Raw genomic sequence first — 17,048 nt, forward strand, 5'->3', positions numbered from 1 at the left:
AACCTAAAACATAAGGAGGAAAAAAGCTTTTCATCCTGCCTATATAAAAACTCATCTTGTTACTGTAATCACACACACACATATATATTTTATATATTTATATATAATATATTTTATATATTTATATATAATACATTTTATATATTTATATATAATACATTTTATATATTTATATATAATATATTTTATATATTATATATAATATATTTTATATATTTATATTTAATATATTTTATATATTTATATAAAAATATATTATATATTTATATAAAATATATATTATATATATTTATATATATTATATATTTATATATTATATATAAATATATAATATGTATATATAAAATATGTATATATTAAAAATATATATATATTTTTCCTAGTGGAGAAGAGTACTTCAGCTAAATAGTTGATAAAAAGAGAAAGGTATGCATAAAGTACTGGTTATGAGCTTTCAACTTGAGGTTTGTAGGCTTCATGGGGTAGTATATGATGTCTGTTGGCCCCAGCATCTACAAGGGTTCTTGTTAAGGTTAAGTGTCCTTTCTGAAGTGCCGTGGCATCTTAGGATATAAGTATATTTACAGTGATAATTCAAAGGTAATAAGCAGAATAATAATGATTAGCTCAAAGGAAATGTCCAAACCATAATAAATCATCATCAAAGCTTCAGACCTGTGCAAAAATTTCAATTAATTCTAATTTTTGAGAGGTGGTGCATTATCCTATTTAAATCCATACATCATCCTTATCACTCATTCTGCCTTCGAAGTTCTGCCACATCTGCTCTTGCCAGGTAAAATGCTGAATAATTAGTTACTCTGCTTTAGCTCGAATAATTAGTTACTCTGCTTTAGCTCACAGAAAAAAATATGGATTCAGCATTCTGAATTCAAAAAATTATTTTGCACATGAACCTATATTGGATAAATACTCAAAATGTTCTCTGTTCTACTCATACTATTTAAACAGTTCTCCCAATTCACTTAATGATGGATTATTGAGAATTTTTGTTTTCCCCAAAGCCTGCAACACTTTTGAGGTATGAAAATAAGTCCTCTTTTAGGAAAGCCATAAAACAATGAGATTTTGGAAATCCTGTTTAAGATGAAAGGTTAGCTGGCACACACAATTGCACAGTGATGATTGCTCTATATTTTGAAAAATAAACTATTCAAAGCAGGAATTTGGGAAGGTTGGACTGTTATAAAACCACATATATCACAGCACTGTTGTACTGGAAAAAAGGGGAGTGTGCAGTCAAAATCTCTATTACATTTTCCAAAGTATTTCAGTAATAAGAGGAACGTGGCATATATCAATTTTCATTTAATAATAGAGTCCAAATTAAATTCAGCAAAATATCTTTCTTTTTTTATTGTTTCAAAATAAATAGCAAGAAATTTGTGAACATAAGCAATAGCTACAGGCTTTCAAAACTGTTGTTTATACCTATATTAGAATGGGTAATCCAATTGAACTGTGATATATTTCTAGAAGGATCCTTTCAGAATTATTTAAATCTAAAACATTTCAGAGAGAAAATTATGCTGTAAGTTGCTAATTATCTAATACATAAACATCTTTTCAAACCAACGTATTCCCACTAGGCAACACATTATAAATGCATATATTACTTTAACTTAAAACCACACCACTAAATCACCTTTCACAGGAAGCATTCTGCACTTTACAGTAATATTTTTATTCATTACTTATTTCCTCTACCTAAACAAAAACACCCTACCTGCTTTTTAAAGTAAAGAAATTTATGTTGCAAACCTCAGTGAAAACTTCTAGGTTTTAGTCACTAATGTCCATGCAGAGAAACCTGGCTTAATTATAGTTCTTAGCCCCACCAGCAGCCATTTTAAACAGAAAACTGGTTTAGTTGTGTTGACAATCACATTTTAAACTGATTCTTTCCAGATGAAAAGATACTTTTTCAAACAATGTAATAAAAATGTAAACTCAGCTGTTTCACAGACATAAAAGTGATTTATATCACATGTACTGTGCTCATGGAGTTTTTCTTTTTATACAATGAAAGTTTTATTTTAAGGAAAAGTTAATAATTAACAGCTAGGAAAATTCCACAATGCAAAGAAGCCAGTTATAGGGGATTAACCACCCCGCTTTGCTCTCCAACAAAAATCAGCCAATAAACCTGGTGAGAAAATGATGTGATATTTGAAAATTTAAGAGTCAACTTTGGGATGATCCTTACCTTTGGTGGGAGTGGGGCACAACAGATTGGAAAGAGGCACCGGGAGGCTTCTGGGAGCCAAAAATATTCTATTTCTTGGTCTGAGTGCTGGATACATGGGTTTCTTTTTTTTTCTAGCTTATGAAAATTCACTGTATACTTAGGTACACTTTTCTGTGTTATACTACACTTCAGTAAAGAGTTCTAAAAAGACATTACAAATTGTCTTTGATAATAGCATGAAAACATTTTTTAGTGTAACTAGATAAATGCTCTCTTTTTTATAAATACTCTGAGGGACAGTTAGACCATCGACTATTTCCCCACAGAACTGTATGATTAGAGGACTTAAAATTATGCCAGTGGCTCATGATGTGTCCCACGCTAGTCCTAAAGAAGGAGAGAATAGGGCAATATTTTCCATTTAGGAGCAAGAGAGAAAAAGAAAGTGTATTTGAGGTCTGCTATCTGAAATCTTTATAAAAACTTGATCCTTTTGAAGGGACTTTAACAGAGGCCTGTAAAATTCATGTTTCTAGCAGCATTCTTCAATGGCTGCGAGTCTGTATTCTATACATCCAGTTCCCAATTATTCCTGTTAATGGGAGGCAGACCACAGGGGTAACTGAAAACCCACAGTCAAGAGCTGTAACATACCCCTCCCTCATGAAAATGTTGGACCAAGTATTAAATAAATAGAAAGATTGGTTTGCGATAGAGTTGCTAATAAACTGTGAAATGTCCAAAGTGCAGGCAACTTCAGGGCACGCAAAGGACACCATCTAGCTAATGACTCCCTGAAAAATCTCAAATTGCACACATTAAGTGGATACCTTTATGTGACAAGAGCTTAATTTGTACATTTACTCCATGAATTTTGGTATTTAAAACTCTAACATTTAATCCATCAGCTAAAAAACCTTTACTACTTCCATTTCTTCAATATGATATTTCCTCTCTCATTAAAAAAGTTAAACAATTTATGGAACTAATTTTGGGTATCATGCATTCTGAAAGAGCACTCAGGTGCCCAATGCCACCAAGAGTTCCATCAAGAAAAAATCATTTTACAATGATCACAGATCCTACCACATGCTATACCCCACATCTTAAAAGCAGTCCTCACCACATATCTCTTCCTCAAACATCCCTCTCTGGTTCTTATTTGCTAATCTTTGTCTTCCTCTACTGCCCTTACCCTCTGAAATGGCGTCTTATACTGGCATTACTTTTTTATTATTTTTCCTAATCTGAGTATAACAAAAATATCATCTTTAAGCACATACATAGGTGCACATGTTTAGTACGAACAAAGCTAAAAGCTCTGACTACAAACAGGCAAAAATATGGGAAAATATATTATGATCTGATCATCTCTGTATACCATGTGGGGACTGCAACAGGAGAATTTCCTCATAATTTGAAATCTCCCAATCAGCTATTTATTGAGAGAAAACAGAAATGGGATGTTGGGGGAATGAAGAAATAGATAAACAAATTGTTTTTGTCCCTGGAAAATACGGAAACACATGAATAATGGAAAAATATGAATTAATAGAATAAATGAAAGAAGCTCCAGTTCATGCCTCTAAGCACTGAGGAAATGTGGGGAGGAAGCTAACATGCTATCCTGTACCTTGCAGTCATCTGTAAATAGAAGAAGCCTCTCCCATGAGCCTTCTCCCCTCTGCTCCTCCCAGAAAATACAACCAAAAAAAAAAAAAAAACCCAGCATGAATATCATGATGGTCTCATACATGTCATGTTATTTGCAGTTAGGAGTTAAGGAGGACAAGCACATGATGAACCCAAAGTTAATGAATCAAATGTTTTCAAAGTTGATTGTGTACATCCCCAGGGTCAAATTCAATCCTCAAAAATCCACGTGCAGTTTCCATAGAAATAACTATAAACACCAAGCATAATAAAATAGCTGCAGTCAGTCTTTTTCTCTGTATTGACATATGGCCTTTATTCTCCTCTGGCATTTTCTTTTGAATGGCAAGTTTTGGCTTGGTTCTTTTTATACAATGAAACTTCGTCAACTCACACACACCTTCAAGAAACCTAGAGTGAAATGTTCATTTTGCAGATCAGGAAAAAAAAAAAAAAAAAAACTTGGCAAGAAGAAGCAAATCAAAGAAGTTCATAAAACACATTTATTTTATTGGGCTATGAAAAGAATACAGACTTGGAAAGTGAATATGAATAATATTCATAGGAAAATTCAATGGAAAATACATAGTTAACAGAGATGAATTTGTCAATCAGCAAGCAATAAGGCACTTGCATAGATAAAGGTCTGTGGCCCAGGCTAGTGTAGGTAAAGTACCATGCAGGCAATGAACACATATGATCAGAGGCAGATGTACACAGTGCCAACAAGGGAGCAGAAATGAGTAAGAAGCTGTTTCCTAGTTAGTGATGTTCATTTTTTCAGTTCTCTCCAGGAGTGTTTTTATTTCCTCAAAAGAAGGGGAAAAATTAACTCTCACTTTATTTAAAGTTTTAATAACATGAATTTCAATGAGTCTTTTAATAGACACACCACCAATATGTAAATGCTGTTTCAGACTGAAACAGGATTAGAAAATATGACTATGTAATGCATCAAACATTTTATTGTACAGCTGCTTATTGATGATATATATATAAACATCCCAAGCTGGGAGTGGTGGCTCATGCCTGTAAGCCCAGCACGTTGGGAGGCCAAGGTGGGCGGATCACCTGAGGTCAGGAGTTTGAGACCAGCCTGACCAACATGGTCAAACCCTGTCTCCACCAAAAACACAAAAATTAGCCAGGTGTGGGTGGCGCATGCCTGTAATACCAGCTACTTGGGAGACTGAGACAGGAGAATCGCTTGAATCTGGGAGGCAGAGGTTGCAGTGAGCTGAGATCACACCACTGCACTCCAGCCTGGGTGACAGAGCAAGACTCCATTTAAAAAAAAAAAAAAAATCCTAGTAAATAAGACTCTTCTCCAAGGAATAAAAATTAAAGGGTTGTTTGTGTTAATGGCTCAGGGCATATATGAAATTGATTCGAAAGTAAAAATATTAATTAAAATCTCATAAATTTCAAATAATTGAAATTTTACTGACAGGATTAATTTATGGATTTTACTACATGCATTTTTATCATTTGCTATGCTTTTACGACTTGGTGGCCACTAGACCATGCTAGTAAAAACTTTATTTATTATGACTTTCTCAATTAAGGGGAAATGAGGGAATTCCCAGACCACCCTAATAAGAGTATAGACCTTATAATAACCTTAAAGATACTGTTAAAAGAAAGTCTATATAAATTGCTCTTTTTGTTATGGAGGCTTTAGAGAACATTTCTCTTTAAAAATCAAAATTAGAATATGATTTTAAAATGCTACTGAAAGGTATACAGCATTAGAAAAATGATTTTAACTTCGTTATTAAGGTCTTAGGGATCATAAGTAAAGTAGCTCCTTTGGTCAATTTCAAGTTACAAGTAAACCAGTCCACTCTGATCATCATGTTGCTCAGGGCAGAGGTTTGTTGTACCACATGATTCTTTAGGCTGACTTCTGAAGTCCAGCTTGTTTGAGATGAGAATGTAGCATACCTAGCAGTACCATTCTTCTTGCCTAACAGATACCAACAAAGGTCCATACAGCTTGCAGAAAGTGTAAAATAAAATGTCAATCACTTAGACATGTGTTGCTTGACATTTTTGTGTTTAGTTTTAAAGGAAGGATGGATTTATAAAAGGTTGTTCATAACTTCTAGACTTTTAGTCACAGAAGCCCAAGGCTGAGAAAGGGCTTTTTCTAATACTGGGGCTACTGTGGATCCATGATGGACAGTGTGGATCTGTGAAGCGTCTGTGCAGTATTACTCACATGCCTTAAATAAGTCATCCTTCCTTACAAGGACAGGTGGGAGCTGATTATTTGTCAGGCTGAGACTCCTGTCACAACCCCTAAGGAAGCAGGAACCAAACCCATAGTACGAATTGGAGAACCATATCAGTACTCTAAGCTGTGCCTGAAAAGTAACAGGCAGCTCATGCAGACTAGCTTGCAAGAGGCAAGAGGATTGCGGGTAGAGGAAGTTTAGAGTTCAGATGCAACACAGCATATATGTAACCACCTCAGAACAAGAATAACCTAAATGCCAAGGAGTTGTTCCAGCTCATCAAAGTCATGGGAAACGTGATAAAGGACAACCATGGTGTCTGATTGAGAGATGAAATGTCTTACTTCATTTGTTAAGAAAATGAAATGTTGCACAGTGGAAATCAGAAAAAGGGCCCACAAGTCTCTAAGAAGAGCTAACAGATTGATGTTCTAGGAAGAGAATGAAAATGCCATAGATAACATAATTGACAATTTACTGGCAATCTCTGCATGTCAAAGCATTATAGTGCCTTAAAATGCAGGCAATCATCACCACCATGAACATGATGCAGAAAGGAATTAAGAATAAGTTAAATCTATTGAGGAATAGATCACATTTTCCACTTCAGTAAATAAAAAAGACAGTATGGTAATTTATTTATTTATTTATTTATTTATTTCTCTCTTTCTCTTTCTTTCTCTTTCTTTCTTTCTCTCTCTTTCTTTTTTTTTAAAAAGTACCAAATCTATCTTTAAACAGAGTTGAACATTTTAATATAGTTTAGTTCAACAAACTTTTGTTGAATTCCATCTAGGACTCAGGCGCTCCATCAGATCCCAGGGACACCAAGATGTGTACAATAGGATCCTGACCTTGGGGAGCTCACTACTTGCCTTCCAGGAAAGTGTGAATTAGCCTTAGATGCACACCTGGTATAAAATTCCTTGCTAAGACTACCTCTCAGTGGCGGCAAGATTCTGACATTTCCAGACCCTGTTTGGTCTATTCACATGTATGACACGCAGCACACTGTCACAAAAACCTGCCAAGATCCATGTGGACACTTAGTTCCAGTGATGAAATTGAAAACTGAGCTATTCAAATGTTCACACGTCGGCTTTGTCGGAAGATAAACAGACTTTTCAAAGGGAAAGAGCCAATGCACTTTACTTAACTGCCTCAGGGAGCTGGACTCAGCGAGTAAGCCTGGCTTCCATTTCTAACTCTGCAACCACTCCTTAGCGGCCTTTAACAAGCTGCTTACTTTTTTCCTTCTATCTATTTTACTCAGTGGACATAGGATCAGGAGATGGGTTAAGGTGGAGGAGTGTGGGAAAGTGAGAAGTAGCAATAGCTGATCTGAACCTTGCTAAGATGTGTTAGATGAGTATAAAATTCTTTGTTTATTGGAGGAAAGATGTTAGGAAAAGAAATATTAGTGGTAATTATAACTAACATCAAATTTCAAAATATTAAAGTCAAGCATTGTTAATCTAACAATAGTTTGATTAGTTATTTTTAATCTCATAGTTGGATTAACTCTTTTCAAACAAGTAATTTTCCATTCATAGAAAGATCAGATTTTTTAAGACCTTTCAAACATGACATTCAAAATAAAGACAACAATCTAATGCTGTTGATATGTGGCTGAAGGCAAAAGAGAAGAAAAAAAGGCTCCTTAAGACTCCTTAAAACCAGTTTCAGAAGAGTTTAAAATAAGTTCTGCTTCTCATCTCTAATAATGAATTTTTTAAAAAGCAGCAAAACAAACAAAAAAATTCAAGAGCTCTTCTTACATGTAAGCTACATGAAACAGCAGAAAAAGTTTATATTATAAGCAGTATGCTTTAGATTTTGCTTTGCTCTTATCTAGAAAGTTCATATGGCCCATGTAAATTCTATAGCAATGAATCTCTGAACAGTAGCATCTTCCTTTTCAAGGTTTTACTTACTTTAAAACCCTTGCTGTGAAACCTAATTTGCGGTAGCAGAGTGGAAGGGAGTGAGTAGTGGGACAAATTAAGGGAAGAGCATTAAAGAAATCAACACAAAAAGTTTTTATGTAGTTGATCCCAAACCTTATTTGAAAAGCCTGAATAGGATGAAAAGGTTTTCTCTATTCAGTAGTTTCACTTAATCCTCAGTCCAAACATTTGCCCCAATAAACATTAGATTATTTTTATGTTAGCTATAAAGCTGTCAGTCCTCAATAAACAGATATACTCCTGGTGGTTTTACCTTTGCTGTCAAAGAATTGTCAATATGTATACTGGCTTTTAAATTAAAACAAACACACAGAAAAAGAAATGTAAAATAGAGTTTAACTGGAGGCTGTTGAAATCCTAAATAAATGATGGTTCATATAGTCGATGGTGATTAGAAGTTCAATAAAATGTGATAGAAAGTAGTCTGTGCGTTGTTAGCGCCTTGGTGTCCTCTTAGTGGAATGCTGTAACCTCTCCTATTCAGGTAAGCCAGACCCCTACTTTAGTGTCTCTGTAAAATTTTATGTCTGATGTATCCATTTGTTCTAGGAAGAAAAACAAGTTCAATGAAAGGGACACTTTGAAGATTTTATTTCCTATGGGGACAGTTTATTTCTGTCTGGAAAGTCCCTTCATAGTTTTGGTGGGTTTTTTCCTGTAATTGAGAATGGTTATATAAGAAGTGTGAAGAAACCTGTAGGTATTGGAAATGCAAATGTATTTTCCAACTGGTCACATCTCTAACATTTTTGCAGTTGCTTTCAGAAGGATTTTTTCCACAAAGGCTAATAGAATCATGTGACTGAAACACTCATTTTTGCTCATACAGTCGTTTTATTGCAGAATTAAGTGTTTAGAAGGCCAGAGCTGGGTTTTTTTTTTTTAATGTAACTGGTATGCTGCCTAACAGAGGACTGTGTACACATGGGCAGTCACTAAATACCGTTTGCTTGCTGGGTCATAAGTATTCTTAGAAGGCTGGTAAAGAAAATGACATCAATACAGAAAAGATGCCGATATCTTTTTGTAGCTGGAATAATGTTGTTTGCCCTTCATCTCCTTCTATATCAAAACACTTTGTACACTTCAGGGAACTATGTCTCACACCAGAGAGATTAAGAAATATTTAATAATGGGATTGTCCAGCATTACAAAAGGAGGTGTTCATTTTAATTTTCTGTCTGAAATGAGCAGCTCTTTTTCTTCTAATAGGGAGAGAAAGAGAGAGAGAGAGACAGAGAGAGAGAGAAAGAGAAATTGATTAAACAAACGAGATTAAAATAGGATATGAGGGACTTAGAAATGTAACCTGGGTGAATAAAGAGTTTGAGGACAAGAGAGCTAAAGGCAAATATATTGGGAATCTTCAGGTCTGAATGAATACTCCCTTTGTTCTATACAATAAATGTATGATCTTCCCTGCCAAGGCTGAAAGAAAATGGATTTCCCCAAGAATGCCCCATCACTGGAGGAGAGATGGCCATCAAAAGCCATCATGCTCTGAGGAGGTGTAGCAAAAAGATTAAACATTTAAGACAGATGATGGGGTAGAGGAAGGAGTGAAGACAAGGATGTAGAAAGGTAAAATGCCAGCATTCTGAGAATGAGATCCACAAACATGAAAGAAGGAAATTGAGGGTGTCAAACTTAAACCCATGGTTTGTATCTTGTGGCCCCGAGCAATTTGGAGTTTAAGGAGAAAGATGGAACATTCTATTCACCATGGTGGTGTTTCTCATATGTCAAACATGCATGACAGAGCCCATGCCAAAATATATCAAGTAGTGCCCCGGCATCCTGAAGAAACATTTGAAAAAATGTAAAGGTCATATTATAAGAATAGTTTAGTGCCCTAACTGATGTCACCAACCAATTTGGTTTCTCAGTTTTCCATTTATTTTCTAAAGCTGTAAAGTAGCCACTTAGTGAAAAAAGAAGAATTTATGTTTTTTTAAGTTTATCTTTTAAAATAGAGGTTAATATCTGGACCCATGTTACCTGGGTTAAAATTCCTACAACCTATGAGAAATTGGACAAGTTACACAAACATTTTGACCTTGTCTGACTCATCAATAAAATAGGAAAAATTGTAGTTCTTTCCCTATAGGATTGTTCTGAGGACTAAATGAGAGCACTTAGCAAAGCACTCAGCACCTGGTAAGTTATTGTTTTAGTTGCTTAAAATAAATTTTTAAAAATGTTATTTCTCAAACCAAAAATATATGTAGTATTATTATTCCTCAAATAACTTGATTAACTAAGTACAATATTGAGTACCTACCAGCGAACACTAGAAGGATAAAACATTGAAAGTCATACTTTTAATGGCAAAAACTGCTATTACTTTTGCACCAATTTGACATTTTCAGGATTTCCATTTGAATTCTTTTTTTTAAATTTTGTTTTTGCAGATCTCAAGTCTCTGGTGAAATTTTCCATCTTCTAGTTTTTTGAACATAATTCTCATAGCTTTTTTAAAAAAGTCATTCTCTGTTAAACATAGAATTATCATATGCTCTAGCAATCTCACTTCTGGGTATATACACCAAAGAACTGAAAGCAGAGACTTCAACAGATATTTGTCCACCAGTGTTCATAGCAGCATTACTCCCAAGAGCCAAAAGGTGGAGGCAGCCCAAGGGTCCACTGACACCTGGATATGAATGGATAAACAAAATGTGGTACATACATATAATGGGATATTATTCAGTCTTAAAAAGGAAGGAAATGATGATGCATGCTACAATACAGATGAACCTTGAAGGTACATTATGTTAAGTGAAATAAACCAGTCAGTCACAAAAGAACAAATATTGTATGATTCCACTTACATGAGATACCTAGAGTAGTCAAACTCATGGAGACTGAACATAGAATGGAGGTTATCAGGGGCTGTGGGGAGGGAGAAATGGGGAATTACTGTTTAAGGGTACAGATTTTCTGTTTGAGAAGATGAAAAGTTCTGAAGATGCAGTGTTGATGGTTGCACGACATTGACTTTACTTAGGGCCACTGAACTGTATGCTTAAAAAATGCTTAAAAAGGTAAATTTTATGTTATGTATATTTTACCCAAGTAAAAATAAAAAAAAATTAAAGTCCCAGTCTGATAATTCCAAAATTTGAATGACTTATTGTCTCTGCTTCTCTTGATGTTTAGTTAGTTTGTCTTTTTTATTCTAAGGCCCTGTAACTTTTTATTGAGTAGAGGACACTGTGCATAAACATTGAAAAGCCCCTGGATGATGGTGTTTTCCTCCAAAGATGGAAACATTTTTTTCTCAGCAAGCAAACAGATTACAGAAAATACCTTCATTTTGCTGAGGGTGGGTTTTAGGCTTCGTTAGGGAGAATTTACTTATGCTTTGTCCCTATTCCTGAGGCAGAGCTCTCACTCTTGGGAGTGGACATTCTGGGCCTCAACTGAAGACCTGGGGTGCTTACAGAGCCCTTCCACCTGGCTGGACTTGAACTCCAACCCTTGCCTCCTCAGCCTCAAGGGGCTACTGAAGTCTCTGCTCATCTCGATAGCTTTCCAACTGCTGGAGTTTTTCCCCCTAGGTTTCTTGGAGTTTCCTCCTGCTCATATGTGGCTCAAGAGTTGGCAAATGCCTCAAGGGGAAATTGCATATAGATCTTTGGGCTCTCTTCTCAGCAATTTCCCTCTTCACCAGGATCTTTACTCCTCAGGTCTCAGCCATTTGGCATCCCTGAACACCAACCTACAACTCCCTCCTCAGCCCAGACGTGGCTTTGACTCTTTCCCCCAACACTTCCCACAAGACTTAGCAAAGCCTTTAAGTAAAAATCCTGGGTGAATGTGGAACTTACTTCTCTACGCTTCCTTCCCTCAGGTCTTGTAGCCTCTCATCAGTTCTGCCGTAGCTCTACAATGCCTTCAAAAGTAGTTTTGTGTATTTTGCCTATTGTTTACTGTTATTTTCAGCAGGAGGGTTCTCCTGATGCAAGCTACTCTGTGGTGTCTGAAACCAAGAGTCTCTATAATATTGTCTTTCAAAATCCTAACTCAAACTGCCTCTTATTTCACTTTAAATGTTCTTTTGCTTTTACTTATTTCATTTTTTAATCGACTGGAGTATTTGGGTTTTATGTACACAGTTTTTGTCCCTCTGCTTATTAAACTCTAGACAGGAAGTGCTTTAAGGAGAACAGTAGTGAAGACAGAACACATTCAAAGCATGGAAGCAGACAGTTTGTATTTCACTTTGGTCTTCCTAAGCCTTCACAGTTTCCCTAATTAGACCCTCTCAGTGCCATTCAGCATCATTTGCCAGCGGCGAAGTGCCCGAATCTAAAAACTACATGCCAAAATTTAATGCCTCACCTTCAGACACCTGCGTGGCCATGAAAATTATTCTATTGTATTCCTGAGATTGTTATAAAGATGTTACCCTTCTGGGGTTATAGATAAATTATCATGTTTAGAATCTTGGTCTTAATGATACCATGGGTGTCGTAAATTTTCTTACTATCTGTTTTGATTTGATTATACATTTTTAAATATTAATATGTCCAGAATAGCTAAGTATATGAAACTAGTAATTATTCAATTAAATTCAGCAAACACAAATTGGGTGATGATTATATATGATTATATACAAAGAACTATGTGATACACTATAGGAGCCCCAAATATTATTTCATCAGAGTTCTACATATTTACATAACTATGAATAGTTACGAGTAATTGGCTACAATATAAGGTACTAAAAATAAAACTAGCTAACAATCATTATGTGTATATTTATATTCCATATATTAATACTGAGTGCTAGCAACACAATAAAATAAGTATGGTTATTGTCTCCATATTACAAATGAGAAAACTGAAGTACAATGAGGTTAAATAATTTGTCCAAGGTCCCAAAACTTCCAAGTGGAATTCTAATCCAGGTCTCTTTGAACCCCAAGGTAAGTGTTGTTACAGAGGAACAAAGTGCTATAAGAGAACAGAAGGAGGAAATTATTTCCCCTTTGGATGATGAGGGAAGGCATCAAAGAGAAAACAGCATACGAGCTGGGCATCTTTGGATGACCGGAATTTCCACAGGTGGATAAAAGGGAAAGGACATTCTTGGCTAATGAATATGTGTGAGAAATATGCACAGACAAATTGTTTCAGGAGTTATAATTGTGCCAGAAGGGCTGGAACATAAGAGGCATGTAATGATAGTGGGTGAGATAAAGCCTGAAACATTCAAACCAGAGGGTAAAAATTTTTCCAACACTTACTGGCAAAATTTTATCATCATATAATATCTATGGATCAGGAACCTGTGCATTGCTTAGCTAGGTGCCTCTGGAATGCCAAACACTAGAAAGTTATTGAAATTTCTTCTTACTCATCACCCACATCCATTGTCAAATCATTGTAAAGAGTTTAATTATCAGCATTTTTTCTCTCTAATGAAGTAATATCTTACCTTACACTTGTCAGTATCTCAGATTCTGTGGAAAAAGATAGAAGGTCTGTGGCAGGCTCTGGGAGAACAGTTTGAAAACAGGGTTGTAGACAGAGCCAGTTCATGGGGTTAAGGGGTAAACAGGTAGTTAAGAAACATTTTTGAAATGTAACACATATTTTATTTTACACATGAAGCCAGGTCTCTAGTTATCAATATGTCTTATTGCTTAATGAGTTATATTGCAACATTCTTTTAATTTTGATTCCTTTACAAATAGTGTCAATCTCTGGAAATTTTATTATTTGAATTTCAAAATGTATGTTGACCTGTTCACTGAAAATGTATAGAATACAAAATGGTACTTCTCCTTTTGGTTCTTGATTCTTCTAATATAGGAGAGGTTTTATGTAAAAAAAATTTAAAAAACTAATTCATTTAACAATAAACTCACAACCTCTCTTTAAGAGTTTCCAAAATGTATCTAACACTTTATCTCATTTTTTGTCATCACTGAGACTGTGACTATGTTAGATTTTTTGGTATCTTGTTTTCCTCTGAGTTCCACACAATGAGCTGTTTATCAGCAGGAAAACCAAGCCACTGTATAAGGCTGGCATTTTCTCTAGGATTAGGTGACTATATCTTTACATACATTGTGATCATATGATGCTTCTTCACTCCCATCTGACAATTCATCCAAGGAACGTTGGTTAAATGCCTTATTTCATGTTTCATGAGGTTTTCCTGGTTATTACTAAATTCAACTTCAGTTAGGCCAAGACTCTAACAGGTGAAATAACCGAGTTAAGTTCACTCAGTGAGTCTTAACCTCACACTGTGTCTGGTAACTACTCTTTGGAGATGATTCTGTCCTAAGGACCACAGGTCCAAACCTTGGTCTCATAGAATGATGGTGCCACATGTCAGAAGACATGTGTAATCTAATTTCATTTGCCTAAGACCTTTTTTAAACAAACAAACAAACAAACTAAACCTCTGCATTCTTTGAGTATTGATATCAAGATCAATTTTTCTGGGGATCCCACTAAACCCCTTTCTGCTGAAGTTTTCTTGTACATAGACCAGAAAAGTTGTCAGCAGTCATGCCATCCCTTTCCTTCTTCCCTAGATGAAATTCAGCCAACTGAGATGAGATATGTACAAGGCTTTGAACCCAAAGAGGGAATGGTGTAAATGTGAGGTGCTGCTTCTGTGATTGCTAGTACCACTCTTTTGTTATTGACAAAATAGGCAGCATATTAAAAGATGAGGAAGACACTGGATGAATCCCAGCCCCAACAAATACAGCTGTGGAATGTTGGGCAAGTCCCTTAACAACCCTTACTTGTTTCTTCACCAGAAAACTAGAACTGTACTCCTCATCCTCCTACCTGCTAGGGCTCTTATGAGTATCAAGGAGGTCATATACATGGACACGTTTCACAAACGATAAAGGACCAGAATGGTAACAGTGGTTTTGAATCTAATGACCATCATAACAATACTGTCAGAATCTTCTCCCTTCCTCCAATTCCAAACCACCTGGAAGACCAGCGGGAAAGGCAAAGCTAAAATCATGAAACCAGCCCAAAAATTCATGAAGTCATTGATGAAAATAAACTATGAACTCTTTTAACCTTGTCTACGTCAAATCATGCCTAAGTTTTTTTCTACAATAAGATAATCAGGTATGGGTAGAAGAGTGCTTTTAGGAAGTTCTCTTTTTCCATTTGATTTGAAAATGTTCGGTTTTAACGACCACTAGAAAAAGAATTTTGGTTTTGGTAAAGCCATACTTTCTCTGTAATGTGACTGTACTTCTAGCCCATAAGAAGGCCAGAATAAATTAAAAGTAAGGCCTAAAAATATTTCCAGTGGGATATCCCCCATTGGCTATGGAATCCCACCTTTCCCCTCCACCTTGATTAACACTCCACAAACATGGGGAATATCTGCTCAGGCTCTGAATTGAGACACCAACCCTCCTAGAAGACAACAATTTCCACTCAAACAACTGGTCCTCCTTGCCTTCTTGTCAGCACCACACGCTGAGGGAGGCTGTGTTTGGTCTCTTAATCAGGCCTTGCTGACGGGCTGACATCACTGCAAACGTTTTCACTTACTCTTTGGCAACAGTTAAATCCTTGCCAAAGGCCAGTCAGTAAGTCGGAAAGTGTTGTGAGAGAGAGGCTGGGGGAGTCGGAGTGTGAGTGTCAGCTAGCAGTCTGTGGTGATGACAGCAGGGAGATCTAGGTGCTGAAACCATTTTAAAGGTCACTCTGTGGCAGAACAAAAGACCTCTGATTTAGAAAAGGAAACAGAACTCTGGGCCATTGAAGCCCTGGGATGCCGCCCTCTGAGCACTCTGCAAATTCATCATCTGCTCCCTGATTGTGAAGACTGGGGAGGAACTGTTACTTTACAACCCAGTACAGCTTCTGCCAGCAACTGTGTGGCTTAGCAGTGGTACAGAATAATCTGGTAAGATAGAAATGCCAAATAATGTATCCATGGTCCAACTGCCTGTTGTTTTTAAAACTATTGAAATAAGTCACTGCCTGTTCTTCTTCGGTATTCTTTCTCCTTACCCTTCATCCTTTAATTTTCAAACTTGAATTGCTAAATAATCTAAATTTAAAGTTCTTAGCTACATAGCATAATGTTTCTGTAAAAAGAGATTACATATACTTGATGACTAAAAATTTATGAATATTCATATGTGGAAGCTAAAAAAGTTGATCTAATAGAAGCACAGAGTAGAATAATGGTTACTAGAGGCTGGGAAATGTAGTGAGAAGGGGAGAACGGTTAGAGGTGGATTAAAGGGCTGGGTGCAGTAGCTCACACCTGTAATCCCAGCACTTTGGGAGGCCGAGACAGATGGATCATTTGAGGTCAGGAGTTTGAGACCAGCTTGGCCAACATAGTGAAATCCTGTCTCTACTAAAGATATAAAAAATTAGCTGAGTGTGGTGGCGGCCACCTGTAATGCCAGCTACTCTGAGGCAGGAGAATTGCTTGAACCGGGGTGGGGGTGGGGGTGGAGGTTGCAGTGAGCTGAGATTGTGCCACTGCACTCCAGCCTGGGTGAGAGAGCTTTTTTTATTTATTTTTACTTTTATTTTATTTTATTTTTAAAAAAAGAGGTGGGTTAATGGGCACAAAATTACAGCTAAGTGGGATGAAAAATTCTAGTGCTCCATAGCACTGTAGGATGACTATAGCTAACAATAATATATTCTATACTTTCAGATAGCTAGGAGAGATGTTTAATGTTTCTAATACAAGAAATGATAAATGTTTGAGGTGATGGATCTGTTAATTACTTTGATTTCATCACCATACATTGCATGTATTGAAGTGTCCCTACATACCCCATAAATCTGTACAACTATGTCAATTTAAAAAATCAATTAAAATGTATGAGTATGATATACTAAAGTTAACAAACCATTTTTAAAAGAAACACAGATTATTTAAGAATAATAGTAGTATGTCCATGCCTGAATTAAGATAATCTCTTCTCACATTTTCTTTCCAAATCAGGAGAAGACTTG

The 17,048-nt window shown here is 36.0% G+C and overlaps 1 protein-coding gene across 5 annotated transcripts in view, besides 2 other annotated features; it reads right to left on the bottom strand.

Annotated features, from left to right (window-relative positions):
• The window catches only part of SLC25A21 (solute carrier family 25 member 21), a 494,686-nt gene that overhangs the window by 111,696 nt on the left and 365,942 nt on the right, over positions 1-17,048 (bottom strand). The window lies entirely within an intron of this gene.
• Positions 12,301-13,500: an enhancer, noted in NCBI's record as "P300/CBP strongly-dependent group 1 enhancer chr14:37271122-37272321 (GRCh37/hg19 assembly coordinates)". NCBI's record gives its function as "activates an origin of replication core promoter dependent on BRD2, BRD4, P300/CBP, MED14 and CDK7 cofactors, with strong dependence on P300/CBP, by STARR-seq in HCT116 cells {active_cell/tissue: HCT116}" and the evidence as "EXISTENCE:reporter gene assay evidence [ECO:0000049][PMID:35650434]".
• Positions 15,573-16,074: an enhancer, noted in NCBI's record as "NANOG hESC enhancer chr14:37274394-37274895 (GRCh37/hg19 assembly coordinates)". NCBI's record gives its function as "activates a minimal SCP1, AML or CMV promoter by ChIP-STARR-seq in primed H9 embryonic stem cells {active_cell/tissue: H9 hESC(primed)}" and the evidence as "EXISTENCE:reporter gene assay evidence [ECO:0000049][PMID:30033119]".

Source organism: Homo sapiens, chromosome 14, assembly GCF_000001405.40.
Source record: "Homo sapiens chromosome 14, GRCh38.p14 Primary Assembly".
NCBI lineage: Eukaryota > Metazoa > Chordata > Mammalia > Primates > Hominidae > Homo > Homo sapiens.